The sequence below is a fragment of the Homo sapiens genome, chromosome 5 (assembly GCF_000001405.40).
Source record: "Homo sapiens chromosome 5, GRCh38.p14 Primary Assembly".
Taxonomy (NCBI): domain Eukaryota; kingdom Metazoa; phylum Chordata; class Mammalia; order Primates; family Hominidae; genus Homo; species Homo sapiens.
Window position 1 is genome coordinate 57,197,723 of NC_000005.10, and position 22,895 is coordinate 57,220,617.

At 40.7% G+C, this 22,895-nt stretch overlaps 1 protein-coding gene across 5 annotated transcripts in view, besides 2 other annotated features; it reads left to right on the plus strand.

Annotated features, from left to right (window-relative positions):
• Positions 1-22,895, plus strand: part of GPBP1 (GC-rich promoter binding protein 1) — a 90,621-nt gene that overhangs the window by 23,664 nt on the left and 44,062 nt on the right. For 4 of the 5 annotated variants that reach the window (NM_001331037.2, NM_022913.4, NM_001127235.2 and 1 more), the window contains one exon: positions 16,352-16,471. The exons of the other annotated variant lie outside the window; for it this stretch is intronic. In NM_001331037.2, the coding sequence (NP_001317966.1) occupies positions 16,409-16,471 (63 nt within the window). In that variant the 5' untranslated portion in view covers positions 16,352-16,408. Of the gene's footprint in view, positions 1-16,351; positions 16,472-22,895 lie in introns of those variants that run through there. 5 annotated transcript variants of the gene reach the window in all.
• Positions 4,524-5,024: an enhancer, noted in NCBI's record as "H3K4me1 hESC enhancer chr5:56498073-56498573 (GRCh37/hg19 assembly coordinates)". NCBI's record gives its function as "activates a minimal SCP1, AML or CMV promoter by ChIP-STARR-seq in primed H9 embryonic stem cells {active_cell/tissue: H9 hESC(primed)}" and the evidence as "EXISTENCE:reporter gene assay evidence [ECO:0000049][PMID:30033119]".
• Positions 13,894-14,059: a silencer, noted in NCBI's record as "fragment chr5:56507443-56507608 (GRCh37/hg19 assembly coordinates)". NCBI's record gives its function as "represses an EF-1alpha promoter that drives an FKBP-Casp9 reporter gene in an ReSE screen in K562 erythroleukemia cells {active_cell/tissue: K562}" and the evidence as "EXISTENCE:reporter gene assay evidence [ECO:0000049][PMID:32094911]".

Below are 22,895 nucleotides of genomic sequence, written 5' to 3' on the forward strand. Positions count from 1 at the left end.
TCTAGAAGTTGTTCTTTGTCCTTGGTTCTGAAAAATTCATTTATCTTGCTAGTTATTTCTTAAATTCTTTGTTTCCTTTTTATTCATAGTTTTTTTTTAATGATCTCTTTCATTTGCTACTTTGCTTAAAATGTTTGATGATTATTAGTTCATATTTAAGAATGAGGCAATAAAAAGTTGTTTGAGAGTTAGGTGTATGTGAGCAGTGCTTATTGAACGGCTGTCAATGTTCTAGGACCCTGAAAAGCCAAATATCTTTTGGTGCCAGAACCCATATTAGCTCCTTATTTGTGTTTGAGAGAATCTACCTTTCCTTTTTGTTTCGGTGTCGTTGTTATGTTTATGTGTTTGCTTATATTCATGTAGACAACTGTGCATTCAAATTTTTCAGTTACTTCTTTTCAATCTCATTTCCCACTCTGCCCTCCTTTGTATCTGCAGTTTTGCAGTCCTAAATCATTTCAGCATTCTAGGGAGCAGATCAGCTTCCCACTGTATTCTACCTTCCACATGTATTCTAGGCCTTGGCTTTCGTTGTCTAGTTTCATCAGTTATTATGCTTTCATTTATGTCATTCCAAAAATTTCATGAAGTGGCTCATGGCCTTTTCATTATCACAGTTTTATTCCTTTATTATTCTTTAACTCCTTTGTTTTGCTTTTTTAATAGGATCTTTGAAGTCAGGATGCCATCATGAACTTGAAATCCTGTTGTATTTGTAATGGGTACTAATGAACCGAATAAACAAGTTCAGTATCTTGTGTAAATCGAGTATTTTTATATTTCTATTATGGTAGTGGTTATCATAGTTTTCTTAGTTTTCTATAGTTCTTTATAAATATTTATTAGGCCGGGCGCAGTCACACCTGTAATCTCAGCATTTTGGGAGGCTGAGACTGGCGGATTGCTTGAGGTCAAGAGTTCGAGACGAGCCTGGCCAACATGGTACAACCTTGTCTCTATTAAAAATACAAACATTAGCCGAGCATGGTGGCGCGTGCCTGTAATCCAGCTACTCGGGAGGCTGAGGTGGGAGAATTGCTTGAACCTCGGTGGCAGAGGTTGTAGCCTGGGTGACAGTGAGACTGTCTCAAATATTTATTAGTAATTATTTAACTCTTTTTGGTACTTCAGTGTCATTTGCTTCACATTTTGTTTTTTTCCAGTTATGAATATATTGTTTGCCTTTGCAGTTGCAATAATTTTATGCTTAAAAGTATTTTGTTTCTTTAGGTAATAGGCATCTGTTAAACAGGAAAAATCTTACTATATCTCATGATGATAAAGTAGGATTTAATATGAATTAATCATGATTTGGACTCCAATAAATATTTCTCAAACAAAATCGAAGTACATTTACAATGGCGGGGTACACTTAGTACAGTTCTTTTCTGTGTTCTTTCAGAATACTACTATATCAATTCCACAATATTTATGTTCTTTTAACATACAAAATAGTTGTACGTAATCATACTCCTGTGAAGTAAAACTAGCGATATTCTTGTTTTGTAGATATAACAAAAGTTAGCTGTGTCATAGTGGTTATTTAGTTTCTGACTATTTTTTATAGTTTTTGACTCACAGTTTTATATTATTAGTGTTAGAACTGGGACTAGACATTGGGATATATGAACATTAGGGATGGGCGGAACCTGATGAGACTGAGGAGGAGCAGCCATAGGGATACAGGGGAAACCAGTAATGTGGTGTATTGGGTTAGCCCTGGAAAGGAAATTGGATGAAGGAGATAAGAATTGAAAGGTGACACTTCTCCTTCCTTTAACACATTGCTACCAGATTTCTTTTCTTTTCTTTTTATATATATATATATCTTTATTATACTTTAAGTTCTAGGGTACATGTGCACAACGTGCAGGTTTGTTACATATGTATACATGTGCCACGTTGGTGTGCTGCACCCATTAACTCGTCATTTACATTAGGTATATCTCCTAATGCTGTCCCTCCCCCTGAGATTTATTTTCTGAAAGCATACTTCCAGATATGTAATCGTCACTTTAAAACTTCTAAATACTTCCCTTGCCTGCTGGATTAACTTCTGATTTCTCATACTGCTGTGTGCTGTTCAAGAACCCCTACTGTCCCCATACTACTAGAATTTAGGTATACCTGGAATATATTAAGTGGTGTTTGGTTGACTAGACCTAGTGGTTTCAGATGTATTTTTAACAGTGGTTTTTTTTTTTCTTTTGGAACTCTTGACTTCAAGTGATCTACCTGCCGCAAAGTGCTGGGATTACAGGCGTGAGCCACTGCGCCTGGCCCTTACTTGAAAATCTTTTTTTTTTTTTTTTTTTTTTTTTTTTCTGAAACAAGTCTTGCTCTGTCTGTGGCCCATTCTTAAAGTGACTTTGTTGCCTCACCTCACCTTGCCTCACCCGTCCCCGCCCCGCCCCTCCCCTCCCCTGCTTCCTTCCCTTTCCTTCCTCTCTTTCCTTTTCTTTCTTTCGTTTTAGAATTATGCTGCTGGCCAAGGCATGGATGCAGGCAGGGAGAAACGGTGATAAATTCCATGTTCTTTCTATGTTAGTGCTTGAGAAGGTAATTTCATTTTCTGTTTAATTAAAACAAAACATAAAGCATTGTAGTTTTTGTGTCTTGAGTAAATAAGTTTGAATTTTTTTTTTTTTTTTTTTTTTTTTGAGATGGAGTATCATACTGTCTCCCAGCCTGGAGTGCAGTAGCACGATCTCGGCTCACTGCCACCTCTGCCTCCTGGGTTCAAGTGATTCTTCTGCCTCAGCCTCCCTAGTAGCTGGGATTACAGGCATGCGCCACCATGGCTGGCTAATTTTTTGTATCTTTAGTAGAGTCAGGGTTTCACCAAGTTGGCCAGGCTGGCCTCGACCTCCTGACCTTGTGATTCTCCCGCCTCGGCCTCCCAAAATGCTGAGATTACAGGTGTCAGCCACTGCGCCTGGCCTGAAAATTTTAAATAACAAAACTTACTTTTGTATCTTAAGGGATACACTCCGTTGCCCAGGCTGGAGTGCAGTGGCATGATCTCCGCTCACTGCAAGCTTCGCCTCCCGGGTTCACGCCATTCTCCTGCCTCAGGCTAACAAGTAGCTGGGACTACAGGCGCTAGCCACCACGCGCGGCTAGTTTATATTTTTAGTAGAGATGGGGTATCACCGTGTTAGCCAGGATGGTCTTGATTTGCTGACCTCGTGATTCGCCCACCTCGGCCTCCCAGAGTGCTGGGATTACAGGTGCAAGCCACCATGCCTGGCCCATGCCTGGCTAATTTTTGTATTTTTAGTAGAGAGAGGGTTTCACCATCTTGGCCAGGCTGGTCTTGAACTCCTGATCTCGGGTAATCTGCCCTCCTCGGCCTCCCAGAATGCTGGGATTACAGGCATGAGCCACTGCGCTCGGCCATGAGCCTTGTTTTTTAAAAAGTTAAATTCTGTATCGTATGAGGTAATTGTTAGGTATTTCTCTCTTTTTTTGAGTCAGGGCCTTGCTCTGTTGCCCAGGCTCGTGATCCTTCTGCCTCAGCCTCTTGAGAAACTGGGACTTACAAGTGTGTGCTACCATGTGCAGCTAATTTTTTTTTCCCAGTACAGAAAGACTTTAATTGATGCATTGCTGCCCATGCCACACAGGAGATGGAGTTATTACTCAAATTGGTCTCCTAATTTTTAAAAATTTTTAGTAGGGATGATGTTTCACTGTGTCACCCAGGCTGGTCTCGAACTCCTAAGTGCTGGAATTATAGGCGTGAGCCACTGCATCTGGCCAGATAGTTCTTTTTGATAATATAATAGTCATGTAGCCTTATTTTTGTCCATGTTGAACTAAGCCATCTCTAGGATTTTACATAGTTCAGCAGTGTTTTTTTATACAAATTGCTTAAGAAACACCTAGGGTAGCCGACACCTAAGGTGGCCTCTTGCTGTAAGGTTATTTTACTTGATAGTAAGTAAACATTCTTTTTTATATTAAAACACATGGATATTGTAGTGCAATGCAGAAATTTCATTAACTTGTTAAACAGGTCTTGAAGACGGGTTATTTGGTTACTTTCTGAAAAATGTCTTTGGAGGGGTCAGGAGAATGGGTTTGTTAACATTCAGTAATTGCTGTGGGAAAGTTTGAGAGAGATACTGTAGTGAAAAAGTGGGCTTTTGAGGTGGGGGTACCTGGGTTCACATTACCTAGTTTCTGTCATTTATTGGCTCTTGTAGCTTAGGGGCAAATTACTTTAATCTTTCATAATTCTGCGTTTTTTAAATTTAAGTCAGTCTGGCTTTGTTTTTTAATTTGAGATGGGGTCTCACTTGGTTGCCTAGGCTGGAGTGTAATGGAGCGATCATTGCTCACTGTAGCCTTGACTTCCCAGGTTCAGGTGATCCTCCCACCTCAGCCTTCCTAGTAGCTGGGACTACGGGTGCATGCCACTACGCTCGGCTAGTTTTTGTAGAGGCGAGGTTTCACCATGTTGACCAGGCTGGTCTCAAACTCCTGGGCCCAAGCAGTCGGGCTGCCTTGGCCTCCCAAAGTGCTAGGATTGTAGGCATGAACCAGTGGGCCTGGCTCCAGCATTGTTTTTGTTTTTTGAGATGGAGTTTCACTCTTGTCACCAGGCTGGAGTGCAAATGGCCTGATCTTGGCTCGCTGCAAGCTTCACCTCCCAGGTTGAAGTGATTCACCTGCCTCAGCGTCCTGAGTAGCTGGAATTATAGGCGCATGCCACCACGCTTGGCTAATTTTTGTATTTTTAGTAGACTCAGGGTTTCACCATGTTGGCCAGGCTGGTCTCGAACTCCTGACCTGCAGTGATCAGCCTGTTTCAGCCTCCAAAAGTGCTAGGATTGCAGGCATGAGCCACCGTGCCCAGCAGCATTTTTTTTTTAAAAAGCTTATCTATCATTTGAACCCTCGAAGTGATGACATTTTTTGGTAAGTATTTCAGAGAAAAAATTGCTTGTCTACACTTCTAAGAGGATTTGAGGCAGCAACATTGCATTACAGTTATTTGTTAATGCTATTAGATTGTAAGCTGTTAGAGGCAGGAATGCCCTCTCTTATGCCTTGTATCTTCCGTTGCTTAGGCCATATTGCTCATATTATTAATAGCTGTTCAATAAATGAGTTGATTTAAATTAAATTTTATCCCAATGAGTTCATACTGTTTGCAATATATTTCTAAATTAAAACTTGCCAATCTTTAAAACAAAAAAGGATTCCATAGGCTGTTAGAATAAATTTCAGGGATGACTCAGTCAGATTCAGTTTGTGAGGAAAGAGAAGCTCAATAAGTAGAAATTTGTTTACCTTATGGAGAGTAAAGCTTATTTTCTTGTAGTGAAGTTTATATGAAAGTTAAGTAAGTTCGTTGTAAGTTTTGAAGTTCAATTATATTTTGTGTGTTGTATCTTTAATATGTCTCAAAAATTGAGAATTAAAAACATTTGTTTTCAGAATATAATGCTTTTTTAACCTTATTTTTCTTAGGAGGCTGAATGTACCATATTTATGTATATGTATGTATGTACTTACATACATTTATAGCAGTTTTCATATGGAATAATTTAACAAATAGAGTAATTTTTGTAACTTCCTGTTTTGATTTTTATGATAAAAATGTAAGTAAAGCATAGAAAGGGTATGGCGCTGTGGCTCACACCTATACTCCTCATACTTTGGGAGGCCGAGGCGGGCAGATCACTTGAGGGCAGGAGTTTGAGACCAGCCTGGGCAACATGGCAAAACCCTGTCTCTACTAAAAATACAAAAAAATTTAGCCAGGCCCATGTGGTGCTACACACCTGTGTAATCCCAGCTACTTGGGAGGCTGAGACAGGAGAACTGCTTGAACCCAGGAGTGGGATGTTCCAGTGACCCAAGATTGTACCACTGTACTTCCAGCCTGGTGACAGAGCAAGATTCTGTCTCAAAGAAAAAAGAAAAAGAGCATAGAAAGGTGCTGACAGCTTAAGAGGTAAACTGAAGAGGATGGAGTCTAACAAATTTCAGATAAGAGGAACATTAAAATGGAAGTTTTCAAATGTTGGGACTTTCTAATAACCTAGATTTCTTAAAAATTTATGAATGCAGTTTCATGTTTCAGATCATGTGATCTGTAAACAGATAGCTTGGTAACTAACAGATAAGACATTGGATACTTCTTTCTGGACCAAACATCTAAAAAATAGGGAAGCAATAGAATTTTTGCTACCTTTAGAGGCCATGTTCCTTAGACAGGTGTTTTCTTCTTTGAATAATAGGGCATTTACCATCCTTATCTGATGACCCGTAACTCTTAGTATTTATTTAAAAACAGATTTCTATGCAATGCTTAAGTACCATTGAATCAGAATCAACAAGGGAAGTCTGTAGATCACTTAGCATGCAGTAGATGTCTACTAAATATTAATAAAGTTTCGTTAATTATGTTAAAACTGAAGCAAACAATTCAGTGGAATAAAAATGTCATAGTTTTTAAAAGTTAAACACGTAACTCAAAAATAGAATAAACATGTTTTACAGCTTGTTTTTTTTGTTTTGTCTTGTTTTTTTTTGGTCAGTCTGGCTCTGTCGCCCAGGCTGGAGTACAGTGGCTCAATCTTGGCTTACTACAACCTCCACCTCCCAGGCCCAAACCATCCTCTTGCCCCAGCCTCCTGAGTAGCTGGGACAACAGGCCTGCACCACCACACCTGGCTAATATTTGTATTTTTTTGATAGAGATCGGATTTTGCCACGTTGACCAGGCTGGTCTCAAACTCCTGGATTCGGGCGATACCCCGACCTGGGCCTCCCAAAGTGCTGGGATTATAGGCATGAGCCACTTTGCCTGGCTTGATTGATTTTTAAAAATTACTTTCCTTGAATTTAAACCTGACACTTCTGAAAATTTTGGGTCAGTTATGTTAGTGTCTCTCAGGTTTGGCTTTTCTCTTGTTTAGATTCAGGTTATTTACCTTTGGTCTAGAATATTACAGAAGTGGTGCTTGTTTTGTTCAGGCACACAATATCAGTTTGACCTGTTACTGATGTTGTTCACTTTAATTTGTTGATTAAGGGTGCATTTGCCAGGCTATTTCACTGCAAAGCTGCAATTAATTTTTTGGGGGAATGAGGTACTTAGAAATTATAGAATAACCTGTTTCCTAAATTTACATACATTTATTTATATTTATCTGGATTTATGTTTTTTAATTTATTCAAGAGATTATAATATAGTACTCTACTTACTTTTATTAAAGTAAAAATAACATCACATAAAGTTAATCACTTAAAGCATACAATTCATTGGCATTTAGTACATTCATAGTGTTTTCAAGCCTCCACCTCTATCAAGTTCCAGAATGTTTTCATCACCCCAAAAGAAAACTGTCTCTAAGCAGTCACCCGCATTCCACCCTCCCAACAGTCTCTAGTAACACCAGTTTGCTTTTTTTCTCTATGAATTTACCTCTTATGAATACCTCTTATAACTTGAGGCATACAACGTGATCTTTTGTGTCTGGCTTCTCTTTGTTTTTGACGTTTATACTCAGCATGTGTTAGTAATTCATTCCTTTTTATCGTTACGATTTCATTGTGTATGCCACATTTTCTTTTGTCTATTGATGGACATTTGGGGTGTTTCTACCTTTTGGCTACTGTGAATAGTGCTGTTTTGAACACTGGTGTACAACAATTTGAGCATCCTTTCTCAATTCTTCTGTGTATATACCTAGCAATGGTATTTCTGAGTCATGTGGTAATTGCGTGTTTGACTTTTTAAGGAATTGCCAAACTTCTACAGTTGTTGAACCCTTTTACCTTCACACCAGCAATATATAAGGGTTCTGGTTTTTCCACATCTTTGCTAACATTTATTTCCTCTTTTTTTTTTTTTTCATATTTTGATTATAGCCATTCTAGTGGGAGCGAAGTAGTATTTCATTGTGGTTTTGATTTGCATTTCCCTAATGATACTGAGTATATTTTATGTGGTTATTGGCCAGTTGTTTATCTTCTTGGGAAAATATTCAAGTGCTTTGCCCATTTTTATTTTATTATTTATTTTATTTATATATTTTTTGAGACAGGATCTTGTTCTGCTACTCAGGCTATAGTGCACTGGCACTATCAAGGCTCACTGCAGTACCCACCTCCTGGTCACAGGCGATCCTCCCACCTCAGCCTCCTGAGTGGCTGGGAATACAGGTGTGCCTCACCACACCTGGCTAAGTTTTAAACATTTTTTTGTAGAGATAGGGACTCACTGTGTTGCCCAGGTTAGTCTCAAACTCCTGGGTCAAGTGATCCTCCTGCCTTGGCCTCCTAGAGTGCTGGGATTACAGGCACAAGCCATTGCATTTGGCCCTTTGTACATTTTAAAATTGAGTTGTCTGTTTGTTGTTGAGTTGTAAGAGTTCTTTATATATTCTGGATACTAGACCTTATTAGATATGAGGTGCATATATTTTCTTCTGTCAGTTGTCTTTTTACTTTATAGATAATATTTTTTGCACATGTTTTAAATTTTCATGAAGTTCAGTTTTTGTTTTCTTTTTTTAATTGTTACTCTTGGTTTTGGTGTCATATTTAAGAATTCATTGCCAAATCCAAGGTCAGGAAGCTTTATCTCCCTGTTTTCTTCTAAGAGTTTTATAGTTTTTGCTTTTATATTTAGGTCTGTGATTTATTTTGAGTTTATTTTATTTATTTATTTTTGAGACAGAATCTTGCTCTGTTGCCCAGGCTGGAGTGTAGTAGCGCGATCCCGGCTCACTGCCACCTCTGCCTCCTGGGTTCAAGCTATTGTCCTGCCTCAGCCTCCCAAGTAACTGGGATTACAGGCACCTACAACGATGCCATGTTGGGTTTTGCCATGTTGGCCAGGCTGGTCTCGGACTCCTGACCTCAAGCGATCCACCTGCCTTGGCCTCCCAAAGTGCTGGAATTACAGGCGTGAGCTACTGCACCCAGCTGAGTTTATTTTTGTATATGGTTTGGGTAGGGGGGTCCAATGGCTATTTAGTTGTCCAGTCTGTTTTTTTGAAAAGACAATTCCGTATTGAATCATCTTAGCACTCTTGTTGAAAATAACTTGGATATAAATGTGTGGGCTTATTTCTGGTTTATATGTCTGTTCTTAGGCCATACTACAGTTTTGATCACTATGGCCAAGGTGCGAGGATTGCTTGATTCCAGGAGTTTGAGACCAACCTGGGCAACGTAGACCCCATCTCTACGAAAAATATTTTTAAAATTAGCTTGGTGTGGTGGGGCATGCCTATATTCCCAGCCACTTGGGAGGATGAGGTGGTAGGGTCGTTTGCACCCAGGTGGTGGAGGCTGCATTGAGTCATGGTAGTGCCACTGTACTCCAGCCTGGGTGATAGAGTGAGACTTTGTCTCGAAAAATAATCAAAATGGGCAAAGGACTTGAATATTTTTCCTAAGAAGATCTACAAATGGCCAGCTCACTGTTACTTTACAGTAAGTTTTGAAATAGGGAAGTGTGAGTTCTGTAACTTTATTCTTTTTCTGAATTGTTTTTGGATGTTTAGGGCCCCTCGCACTTCCAAAGGAAATTGAGAATAGCCTTTTTTATTTCTGTACAAAAGAGAGTGTTGGATTTTTTTTCTTTTTTGAAATAGTGAAACTTAGTGAAAGGTTCTCTTATCCCCTTTGCAGGGCATGTGATGGGGGTGTGCCTTGCTTCTTTGGCACCCCACTGCTCAAATCTCTAGGGAGAGCATGCAGACAGGGCAGGCTGTGGGACTCCGACCCCACGGCAGCACCTAGGGGTGAATGTTTACAGCTCCTGAAGCCCCAGTGGGCATGTGTTACAGGGTGCCCTTTTAGTCTAGCCATCCATAGGCGGCTTGTGTTAGCTCAGTTAGATGCCCTGCCTTATCGCAAGGACAGAGGGCTTTTTTGCCTTGGTGTATGGGAAGAATCAGATCACACGTGGGCTTGGAGAACGAGTGCAAGGTTTTATTGAGTGGAAGTTTCCAGCAGATGGATGGGAAGCCAGGAGGGAGATGGAGTGGGAGGGTGTTTTCCCCTGGAGTCCTGCAGCTCAGTGACCTGGGCTCTCCTCTGACCGCACCAGCCAAACCCAGCCAAACTTCATGCCCTTCTTTGGTCGATGGCCTGCCAGCCTGCTTTCTGTCAGTGTGGTATTCCACTGGCATGCTTCCCTGGACATCCAGCTATTTGTGTGTTCTTCCGCCGATATGTCCCTCTCGATGACGTCCAGCCACTTGTGTCTCTGCCTACTAGAGTCTCTGAGGGTTTTATAGGCACACGATGGGGGTGTGACTGGCAGAGTGGTCTTGGGAAATGCATCATTTGGTCAGGAAAACAGAAATGCCTGTCCTCACCTAGATCCGTGGGCACAGAACCGGGGATGGAGCCCTCGCGAGGGACCATGCCCTTCCCTTCCCAGCGCTTGCCTGCACACTTCTGTATCAGTAGGGTCTTACTCTTTCTCAGGGGATTGGAGCCCTAGCCAGGGACCATGCCCTTTTCTTCCCAGCACTTCCTTGCCTCCCTCCATATCAATAGAGTCTCATTTTGTTGCTCAGGCTGGAGTGCAGTGGTGTGATCTTGGCTCACTGCAACCTCCACTTCCCGGGCTCAAGCAATCCTTCCGCCTCAGTGTCCCAAGTAGCTGGGACCACAGGTACGAGCCACCATGCCTGGCTGATTTTTTTATTTTTAGTAGGGACGGGGTTCACCATGTTGCCCAGGCTGGTCCTGAGCCACTGAGCTCAAGTGATCTGCTCACCTTGTCCTCCCACAGTGCTGGGATTATAGGCGTGAACCACTGTAGCCTGGCCGGGTGTTGGAATTTTAATAGAGATTACGTTGAATCTGTAGATCATGTTTGGGTAGTGTTGTTGTCTTAACAGTGTTGAGTTTCCCAGTCCTCAAACACAGGGATATCTGTCTTTTGTTTTTCTTTTTTTTTTTTTTTTTTTGAGACAGAGTCTCACCCCGTCGTCCAGGCTGGAGTGCAATGGCGTGATCTCGGCTCACTGCAACCTCTGCCTCCTGGGTTCAAGCGATTCTCCTACCTCAGCCTTCCAAGTAGCTGGGATTACAGGTGCCTGCCTCCATGCCCAGCTAATACTTTATTTTAGCAGAGATGGGGTTTCACCATGTTGGCCAGCCTGGTCTCAAACTCTTGACCTCATGTGATCCACCTGCCTGGGCCTCCCAAAGTGCTGGGATTACAGGCTTGAGCCACTGTGCTGGGCCAGGGATGTCTTTCTGTTTAGGTCTTTTAACATTTCTTTCAGCACTGTCTTAATAGTTTTTGGTGTGCAAGTCTTAACATTTTCTTGGTTATATTTATTTATTATAGGTATTTTATGCTTTTGGATTTTACTGCGAATTGAGTTGTTTTCCTAATTTCTTTTTTGGATTGTTAATAGTGTATACACAAACAGCTGTTTTTGTGTGTTGATCTTCTATCTTGGCAGCGTTCCTGAATTTAATTAGCTCTAATACATATTTTTTCTGGACTCTTTAGAATTTATGTAAGATCATGTAATCTGTGAATAGGAATAATTTTACTTTTTCCTTCCCAATTTGGATGCCATTTAAAAAAATACGACACTGTCTCACTATGTTCCCCAGGCTGGAGTGTAGTGCTTTTCACAGGTGCCATTATAGCACTCTACAGCCTCAAACTGTGGGGCTCTAGCACTTCTCCCTTCCCAGGCTCCCAAGTATCTGGGACTACAGGTGCTTTGCACTGTGGTGGCTCAGGATGCCTTTCATTTCTTTTCTTGCCTAGTTGCTATGGTTAGAACGTCTACTACAGTGTTGAATAGAGCTTGTGAAAGCAGGGCATTCTTGTCTTGTTCCTGATCTTAAGGGGAAAGCTTTCAGTCTTTCACCATTGAGGATGATGTGCTGTGGTTTTTTTTAATAGATGCTGTTTATCAGGTTGAGCAAGTTTCCTTCTTGTTTCTAGTTTGTTGAGTATTTTTATAATTAAAGGGTGCTAGATTTTGTCAAATGCTTTTTCTGCATCAATTAAGATGATCGTTTGGTATTTTTCTTTCATGTTATTAATGTGGTGTATTATTGATTGATTTTTGTATGTTGAGTCACTCTTGCATTCCTGGGAAAATACTACTTTGTATGGTGTTTAATCCTTTTAATATGCTGCTAGATTTGGTTTACTGGTATTTCATTGAGGATTTTTACTCAGTACTTTGGTTGTAGTTAGAATTCCTTAGCTATTGGTTGATTTTGGGTGTTTTTGATGGTCTTTGTGATTTTAAAGCTTATTTTAAAGTTTTCTGAAATCATTATAAAGACAGTAAGTTTGTTATTCTGATGAAATCAATTTGAGTAAGTTTTTCTTTGAAAACGTGGCACAAATTTGGTAGGGTCAGAAATAAAACATAACAAGAAAGAGAAAAAAGTCTCATCTATTTGTATTTTTTGCCAAAGTGTATTCTTTTTCAGTCTGAAGAATAATCTTTTTTTAAAAATTAAAAGTCAGGCATGTGCACTTAAAGATGTACACTTAGGTTTTATTTTTTTCAGAACCAGCTTTCTCCCGGGGAAATTTTTATTCTTCATGGATGTCGTGAATAAATTGTAAATTGGGTGACAGAGAAAAAAATTAGGGTTTTCATACTAGCAGTATTTGTGTATCTTAAACTCTTTATGTCCACATGGGACCTTCAGATATGACAGAATCCAGTAGATTTCTTAAAAAAAATTTTTTTAAGCCAGTCAAATTTAGTATTGGGGGGCCAGTAGAAGATTTCTAATAAGCTGTGGAATCCTGACTCCTGAGTTGTTAGTAGGACTGTTGATTTGCCTTTTTTGAGGGGGAGGGTAGTTGTCTCCTGTATGTACCTGGTTGTTGTGTATGTGTAAAGGAAATATTTAATACATAAACATTTTAGTTGGTCTATTTCTAAAGTTGTTTGTAGTTTACTAGGGCTGCCATAACCAAATACCACAGACTGGGTGGCTTAAACAACAGACATTTATTTTCTCAGTTTTGGAGGTTCTAAGTTCAGGGTAGAGGCATCAGCAGAGGGTTGGTTGCCTCTGAGACCTCTCTCTTTGGCTTGTAAATGACTGCCTGCTTGCTGCCTCTTCACATGGTCCTTTTATCTGTGCATGTGTCCAAATTTCTTATAAGGGCACAGTCTGATGGGAATAGAACCCACTCTAATTGCCTCATTTGCAGTTAATCACTTCTTTAAAGACCTTATCTTCAAATATTGCTACATTTGAGGTATTGGGGGCTATGACTTCAACATACAAATCTTGTTGGTTGGGGGGACACAGTTCAACCCATAACATACACAGGGAAAGGAAGAAGAGACAAAATCAGATGGCACAATGCAGTTAAGATGAGTGGTGTGGAACTTGTGAAACTTTAATTAGCCTTTATATACTTGTGTAACTGCCATAGCCATAACAATACTGCCTTTTTTTTTTTTTAAATCTTTTTTCAGAACATGAGTTAACTTCTTTTTTTGAGATAGGATCTTCTCTGTCACCTGGGCTGGAGTACAGTGGCGTCATAGCTCACTGCAGCCTCAAACTTCTGGTCTCAAGCAGTCTTCTTCCCTCAGTCTCCGTAGTAGCTGGGACTACAGGCATGGACCACCACACTCAGCCGGTTTTTAAAATTTTTTGTAGAGACGGGAGTCTTACCATGTTGCCAAGGCCGGCCTCAATCTCCTGGGCTCAAGGGAGCCTCCCACTTCACTTCCCAGAGTGCTGGGATTACAGGTGTGAGCCTCCACACCAGGCCCATACTTTAAGAACTAGATTTAAATTAAAGTTAATATAAAGACATTGCAGAAATGAATAGGTGATTTTAGTGGTTTGCCTCCGGGGATTTTGTTGTTGTTGTTGTTGTTGTTGTTGGAGATGGAGTTTCCTCCTTGCCCAGGCTGGAGTGCAATGGCGCGATCTCTGCTCACTGCAACCTCCGCCTCCCGGGTTCAAGCAATTCTCCTGCCTCAGCCTCCTGAGTAGCTGGGATTACAGGCATGCACCACCACGCCCGGCTAATTTTGTATTTTTAGTAGAGACGAGGTTTCTCCTTGTTGGTCAAACTCCCAACCTCAGGTGATCTGCCCACCTCGGCCTCCCAAAGTGCTGGGATTACAGGCGTGAGCCGTCGTGCTCGGCCATTACGTAACTTTTTACCATTTTGTATGATATGCCTTTTTGAAAATTTGTTACCAATTTTAATTAAAAAAAAATTTTTTTTTTGAGACAGAGTCTTCCTCTGTCATCCAGGCTAGAGGGCAGTGGCGCGATCTCGGCTCACTGCAACCTCCACTTCCCAGGTTCAAGCGATTTTCCTGCGTCAGCCCCCTGAGAAGCTGGGATTACAGGTGCCCACCACCGTGCCCTGCTAATTTTTGTATTTTTATGGGGTTTCACCATTTTGGCCAGGCCGATCTCGAACTCCTGACCTTGTGATCCACCCACCCCAGCCTCCCAAAGTGTTGGGATTATACATGATTCCAGCCCATTTTTGGTTAAGTTCTCTGAAGTTTCTGGCCAGGAAGTTGTTGGAAAAGTGTGTAAATACTAAATACTAAATACTAAAATACTAAAGCACCGTTTAGTATTTAACTTCATGTTAAAAGATGAAAATCTTTTATAAATTTTCAGACACCTTAGTTTTCATTGTTACTCCACAAGACTTTGACATTTAATGCCAATAGAAATAAATAGGACTCTGAATACCTGAATTTTTGTGATGTGCAGTATATTTTGGTTAGACATAGTCTTAAAACCTGTATTTTGTTTCATGAGTGTTTTATTGGAATTCCTCTTAAGGTTTTCAAGTTGTATCAGAGTTTTTCTCCCTAAGCCCATATTGAGCATTTAAACATTTTCACTTACATTGCCAGTTTTAACTAGTTGTATTTGTTTTTTATATCTGGTTACTCTTAACCTTTCTTTTCTTTTTCTTTTTTTCTTTTTTTTTTTTTTGAGACGGAGTTTTGCTCTTGTTGCACAGGCTGGAGTGCAGTGGCTCTATTTCGGCTCACTGCAATCTCCATCTCCTGGGTTCAAGCAATTCTCTTGCCTCAGCCTCCTGAGTAGCTGGGATTACAGGCGCACACCACCACACCTAGCTAATTTTTTTTGTATTTTTGGTAGAGACAGGGTTTCACTATGCTGGCCAGGCTGGTCTTAAACTCCTGACCTCAAGTGATCCACCTGTCTGCCTCAGCCCCCTCCCTCAAAGTGATGGGATTATACGCGTGAGCCACAATGCCGGGACCATTCCCTGGTTTATTTTAGAACAGTCCAGATGTATCATCAATTTAGTTGTAAAGATTTGAGTATATGTCTTTTTTTTTATTATTTTTTTCAGAGGGAGCCTTGCTCTTTTGCCCAGGCTGGAGTGCAGTGGCGTGATCTTGGCTTACTGCAACCTCTGTCTCCCAGGTTCAAGTGATTTTCCCGCCTCAGCCTCTCAAGTAGCTGGGATTTAGGCACCCACCACCATGCCCAGCTAATTTTTTATTTTAGTAGAGATGGGGTTTCACCATGTTGGCTAGGCTGGTCTCGAACTCCTGACTTCAGGTGATCTGCCCTCCTCGGCCTCCCAAAGTGCTGGGATGACAGGCATGAGCCACTGCACTTGGCCGGTGTCTTCCTTCTAAAACATCATAACCACCACACCATTATCACATCTAAAGTGATTATTCCTTAGTGCCATTTAATAATATCCAGCTTATGTTCAAAGTTCTGATTGTTTCATAATTTTCTTTTTTTTTTTTTAAGATTGATTTGTTCACATAAAGGATTCTTAGTTCATCTGCCCATTAAAAGCCACTATTTGTCGTAGAAACCAGTTCATTTAACCTTTAGATTATCACTTCCCCCAGATGTCCTTTAACTTGTTCTCCATCTTGAATGTACTGCTAATTGGTAGTTAAATCAGATTTCAAATTTTATTTTAGGTGGGCACAAGACTACATCATAGATGGTACTCTGTATTTCATTTTGGGTTATATCAGGAAACATTTGATGTCTAGTTGTCTATTTGACTTTTTAATAAAAGCTATACTGAGGTATACTTTATGAAAAAACCAGTTTTAAGTTTATAATTTGAGGTTTGACAAATGTGTACAGTTGTAATAACCACCGCAATCAAGATAATACTCAGTTACCCAGAAAATTCCCTCTTCTTTCTTGCAGTCATCCCCCTTCCAAGTTGATCTATTTTCTATCTCTATAGTTTTGTCTTTTCTAGATTTTCATTATAAATAGAATCCTATAGTAGTAAGTAGTAAGATCATTGTAATATAAAGGCGCTAATTTTTGGCCAGGAGCTGCAGGTCTAATTCCTTCCATTTTTATGTGACAGGGACTTGCCATGAGGTGTTGAAGCCTTGTTTCACTGAGTTGGAGAGACTGGACCTAAATGGCGCAGCATGACTTTGCTCCAGCCTGGCTTAATTTCCCTACTCCACCATCATCAACAAAGGTACTCTTTCTGCATCTTTCTTTCTGTCTGCTTCTCTTGCATTCATTTTTTACACAAATGTAATTAAGTCATGGAGGAGTAATAATATCTTTGCAGAGAAGTACATTTGTGGCTGGGCGCGGTGGCTCACCCCTGTAATCTCAGCACTTTGGGAGGCTGAGGTGGGTGGATCACCTGAGGTCAGGAGTTGAAGACCAGCCTGACCAACATGGAGAAACCCTGTCTCTACTACAGATACAAAATTAGCCAGGCGTGGTGGTGCATGCCTGTATTCCCAGCTATTCAAGAGGCTGAGGTGGGAGAATCACTTGAATCTGGGAGGCAGAGGTTGTGGTGAGCTGAGGTCGCGCCATTGCACTCCAGCCTGGGCAACAAGAGCGAAACTGTCTCAAAACAAAACAAAACAAAAACAAAAACCCAAAACATTTATATTAACATCTAAGTTATTTAATTTGTTGGCTCTATTAAAATTTTTTTTTTGAGACAGAGCTTTGCTCTGTCGCCTAGGCTGGATTGCAGTGGCATGATCTTGGCTTATTGTAGCCTACACCTCCTGGGTTCAAGCGATTCTTCTGCCTCATTCTCCTGAGTATTTGGGATTACAGGTGTGGGTCACCATGCCTGACTAATTTTTGTATTTTTATTAATAGTAGAGGTGAGGTTTTGCCATGTTGGCTAGGCTGGTCTCTAACGCCTGACGTTAAGTGATCTGCCCGCCTCAGTCTCCCAAAGTGCTGGGATTACAGGCATGCGCCACCGTGCCCAGCCTGTTCTATTAGTTAACAAGTCAGTTTTTATTACACCATCAGCGTACACTAAGCCATTTATTTCAAAGTTGTCTTTTGTAGTAATCAGAGTTTCACAAATTTTAATTCTTACCAGTCATATACTTTGAACAGAGCATCTTACCTTTTTCTATACTGTTTTTTACTCTTACATGGATTGACTTGTTAATGATATCCACCATACATGATGTACTTCAGTTTGCAGAGTGCTTTGCTGAACATTATCTAATTTGTTCATAATTCCATGAATGTGGTGATTTAGAATTATTCTTAGTCCCTGCTGTACTCATTTTAAATATTGATCTCCTTTATGAGGGAAAGTAAAATGATTGAGGTGCAGAGTAAAGGGTTTGTGCACAGTCACTTTGGGATGAGGGTGATTTATCTGAGTTTTCTGTGTCTTTCCCCATCTTTCTGTAAAGCTGTTTGCCTCATTTGATATCAAACCCATCCGTTAGGCTCCATTAATTCCCAGCTGATTGCTCTATTGTTTTCATTAATGCCTGAAGGGCCTAAATTTGATCCATGCTCTGATCCAATTTAGTTATGGCAGGTGTAGTTTTGAGGCCCAGTCTCCTGAGGTTGGTTCTGACCCTAGTAGGGCTCTCCTTACGTATCTCTTTCTCAGGTTCATTCAGAACTAGCTGGCCTGTGATTCAGCTTATTGCTCTTCATGCAGAGGAGCTACTTATTTTCTTACTACCAGTATCTCCATTGTTTCTGAGAGGGCTGTTAGTGTTTGAATAAAGTTAGTTCCTTTGAGAGACTGCTTCTTACCCTTGGCAAAATCTTTGAGTCATTACTCCACGTGCTAGGTGGAGCAATAGCCTGAATCTTCTAAGTTTTTCCAGTGTGAAACTACTTATTGCTTATTCAGCTTATTGCTCTTCATGGAGAGGAGCCTCTTATTTTCTCACTACCAGTATCTCCATTGTTTCTGAGAGGGCTGTTAGTGTTTGAATAAAGTTATTTCCTTTGAGAGACTGCTTCTTACCCTTGGCAAAATCTTTGAGTCATTACTCCACGCGCTAGGTGGAGCAATAGCCTGAATCTGAGTTTTTCCAGTGTGAAACTACTGCCCTATTAGATAGCTGGAGCAAGAGCAATTAGGGCCTCAGTGTTCTTGGGCTGATGAACCTGGGGTAGAGCCTTCATTCTGTGAGTGGGGGTTGGGTGGAATAAAGGAGCTCCAGAGTTCTCGACTGTAGTTACCAGAAATTTAACTTCTTCAGTTGGAATTGGAGAGGGTGAGAAATGTTGGCAGTCTGCCTCTCCCAGTAAGGTGTACCCCCCTTGTTTAGAAGATGAGAGAGGGGAAGAAACCTGTCTTCTTGATTACAGCTGCCCAGATTGGATGTGGGGAGGGTAGCTGGTTGTAGCTCAAGTGCTGCAGACTCTTGCAATTGAGTTTTAGTCTGAACAAGTATAACTGGGGAAAACGATTAAAAAACAAAACACCGTGGTCGGGCGTGGTGGCTCACACCTGTAATCCCAGCACTTTGGGAGGCACAGGTGGGCAGATCACTTGAGGTCAAGAATTCGAGACCAGCCTAGCTAACATGGCCCAAACCCCGTCTCTACTAAAAATACAAAAATTAGCTAGGTGCGGTGGCATGAGAATCACTTGAACCCGGGAGGTAGAGGTTGCAGGGAGCCGAGATCGTGCCACTGCAGTCCAGCCTGGGTGAAGGAGTGAGACTCTGTCTCAAAAACAAAACAAAACAAAAAACACTAAAAGTCTGAAAATTATTCTAAGGGCACATAGCAAATGAAGAAACATTTATTTAAGAAAATCTGAAAACTTCGTGTTTCTGTACTATTCTTCTGATAACCTGCTTTACTTTCTCCTTATGAACATTTTTTCAAAGCCTTTTCATATATCTGGAACGCTTTTTTTTTTTCATATAAATAAGACTCGAATGGCTCATGACTACAATTTCAGGAATGTGAATTTTGCAATATCGTTATATATTAGGACTCACTAAGGAATGTTGATTTAACTTATATAAATAAAAATAGAATAGTTTTTTACAGGTACATTTACAGACATTCAAGGAGAGTGCAAATTATTAAAATTGTCTATTTTTAAGATGTGCTAAGAATAAATTTTTGAAGCAGATGCTAGAAATGGACTTTTTTGATAGATTATATGCCACTAGTGATTTCTTTAATAGTCTGCAAAGTGGAAAATAGCGGCGTATTCTGATAAAAAGTTGTAATACAATTTTTTTGGTCAAGTTATTTTGTTAGGGGAGCTTTTTGATGGGCCTTCCCTCCAGCATGATCTAGTGTGTAAACATAAAACAACTACTGCCTGGGTGCGGTGGCTCACGCCTATAATCCCAGCACTTTGGGAGGCCGAGGCGGGCGGATCACCTGAGGTCAGGAGTTTGAGACCAGCCTGACCAACATGGAGAAACCCCGTCTCTACTAAAAATACAAAATTATCCCGGTGTGGTGGTGCATACCTTAATCCCAGCTACTTGGGAGGCTGAGGCTGGAGAATCGCTTTAACCGGGAGGGTGGAGGTTGTGGTGAGCCGAGATTGTGCCATTGCACTCCAGCCTGGGCAAGAAGAGTGAAATACTGTCTCAAAACAAACAAACAAAAAACACAAAAAAACACAACTACAAGTGGTCAAAGATCTACCTGTAACTGTCTAGATATTTGCCTCTAAATAATGAGACAATGCGAATGCAAAGAGCCAGTATGATTAAGAATATGACCATTTTCAGAAAAAGCATATTGACTCTCTTGGGTCAGATATGGTGGCTCACACCTATAATCCCAGTACTATGGGAGGCTGAGGCTGGAGAATCTCTTGAGGCCAGGAGTTTGAGAACAGCCTGGGCAACATGGTGAAACCCTGCCTCTCTACAAAAGTAAATTAAATAAATGAAAATTTTCACACAGATTAAGAGTTTATTTAAAAATATCTTTCTCATAAATACTAGTTAATTTCTTTTCACTTATGAAATTTTTTATAGTAATTTATACTTTTGGTTCAGGCAAGCTGTGTTCATTTTGATTTAAAGTAATTCCTATAGGTGTTTTGACTTTTCTAGACTATAAGACCTGTGTAAAAGAAAAAAAAACAAAAAAACCCCACTTTTTTTCCTCTCTACTCTCAACACAGAACACTTCTATAACCACATAATTTGGATTCTCCCCCTCAAAGCAGTTCTCCAGCAGACACTACCTGGGTATCCTATAATTCATTTCAGTTCTGACACTGTCTGCTTGGGATAGGGTCAGATCCCACAGGTTAAATGTTCAGTCCCACAAGACTGCTTTCACTTCAGATGCCAATAGCCAGTCCCAGTCACCAGTACTCCTCACTGGTTACAAACCAGGATTTCTGCAACCACCCCCATTGGGTCTGAACAATTTGTTGGGATGGCTCAAAGAATTCAGGGAAACACATTTGCTGATTTTATTATAAAGGATACAGGTGAATAGATTGATAATGGTGAGGTATTAGGTGAGGGGAGGTGGTGTGGTGTGTGGAGCTTCCATGCCCTGTCTGGGTGTACTACCCTCCCAGCACTTTCATGTGTTCAGCAATTGGTCTATGGGTGGTGGGGCTGAAAGTTCATACCCTCTAATCACTTGATTTTTCCTGTTACTGGCCCTGTGCTGAGACTGTTGGGGGCCCCAGTCTAAGTGACTATTAACATAAACTTGAGTTATCACAGGGACTTGATAACTTGATTTCACCTCAAGTGATCCGCCTGCCTCTACCTCCCAGTGTGCTGGGATAACAGGCGTGAGCCACCACGCTCGAGCCAGAATCAATTTTATAATTTGGCATTTTGTTCTCCCATAAGGACTTACCAGGTCCTAATAAATTTTGGCCATATGTGTTGAAAAAGATACACTTAAGTTATAAAATTCTCCTATAGAATATAATTTTAGGGTTTGAAGATGGATCTTAGTGATCATCTAAACCTTATACAGATTTTGGAAGGTTAACTGAATTGTTTTCACATAGCTGATTAGTGTGAGCCTAGATTAGAATCCAGGATGTATCTCCTATTCTGTGATCTTTCCATAGGACTCATTTTGGAATTCTGTAAAATGAGTAAAAATTCATAGACTGTAAAAAAGGGATTTGAGGCCGGGCGTGGTGACTCACGTCTGTAATCCCAGCACTTTAGGAGGCCAAGGCTGGTGGATCACCTGAGGTCAGGAGTTCAAGACCAGCCTGGCCAACATGGTGAAACCCCGTTTCTACTAAAAATACAAAAATTAGCCGGGTATGGTGGCACATGCCTGTGGTCCCAGCTACTCGGGAGGCTGAGGCAGGAGAATTGCTTGAACCCGGGAGGCAGAGGTTGCAGTGAGCCCAGATCCCGCCACTGAACTCCAGCCTGGGTGACAGAGCGAGACTCTGTCTCAAAAAAAAAAAAAAAAAAAAAAAAAAAACCAAAAACAAACAAACAAAAAAAAAAACAACAAAACCACACACACAAAAAACAAATAATTAAAATTTAAAAAAAAAGGTACTTGAAATTGTTGGGGAATGGAGACCTCTGTTGATTAAGCCACTGAAATCAATTCTTGTTATTGACTTTTGCCACCTTCTCATTCGTGTGTGGGTCCCTGGAATTCCCCTGTACCGAGCTGCTCTTGTTTGTCTTTTAAGTCAGCATTTTCCCCAGTCCTGCCTGGATGCATATGGGTTTCCTGCTTTCCTCTTTTGTCATTTTCTCTGAAATAAATGTAAGACTTCTTGTAATTTTTAAGTGATTTCATAGCTAACATAAAGCACAGTAATAAAAATTAGCATCTGGGCCGGGTGCGGTGGCTCATGCCTGTAATCCCAGCACTTTGGGAGGCCGAAGCAGGGGGATCACCTGAGGTTGGGAGTTCGAGACCAGCTGGACCAACGTGGAAAAACCCTGTCTCTACTAAAAGTACAAAACTAGCTGGGCTTGGTGGCGCGTGCCTGTAATCCTAGCTACTCGGGAGGCTGAGCAGGAGAATCGCTTGAACCTGGGAGGCAGAGGTTGTAGTGAGCTGAGATCGTGTCATTGCACTTCAGCCTGGGCAACAAGAGTGAGACCCTGTCTCAAAAAAAAAAAAAAAATCTGGAAAGATACACAAAACATTAAAAAAAGCTTGTAAATACTTGTCTTCATTTAAATGTTAACTTGAAGTTAAGATTGGTAATTTAAAAAATTAAAAAAAAAATAGAGACAGGGTCTCACTATCTTGCCCAGGCTGGTCTTGAACTACTGAGCTCAGGAGATGCTTCTGCCTTGGCCTCCCAAAGTGTGATTACAGATGTGAGCCATTGAGCCTGGCTGATAATTGTTAACGTGCGTTGAAATTCTCAATGCTTTTTGGACCTGACTCTTGATTAATTTATATAGGCCCTCATAATGATGATGATTTTACTCTTAGAATTTGGAACACCAGTTCTAAATTCTGAATTCTTCTAATTAAAAATTAGCTTTAGAAAATAGTTGACAATTTAAACTTTTTTTTTTTTTTTTTGAGATGGAGTCTCGCTCTGTCGCCCAAGCTGGAATGCAGTGGTGTGATCTCTGCTCACTGTAACCTCTGCCCCCCAGGTTCAAACGATTCTCCTGCCTCAGCCTCCTGAGTAGTTGGGATTACAGGTTCCTGCTATCACA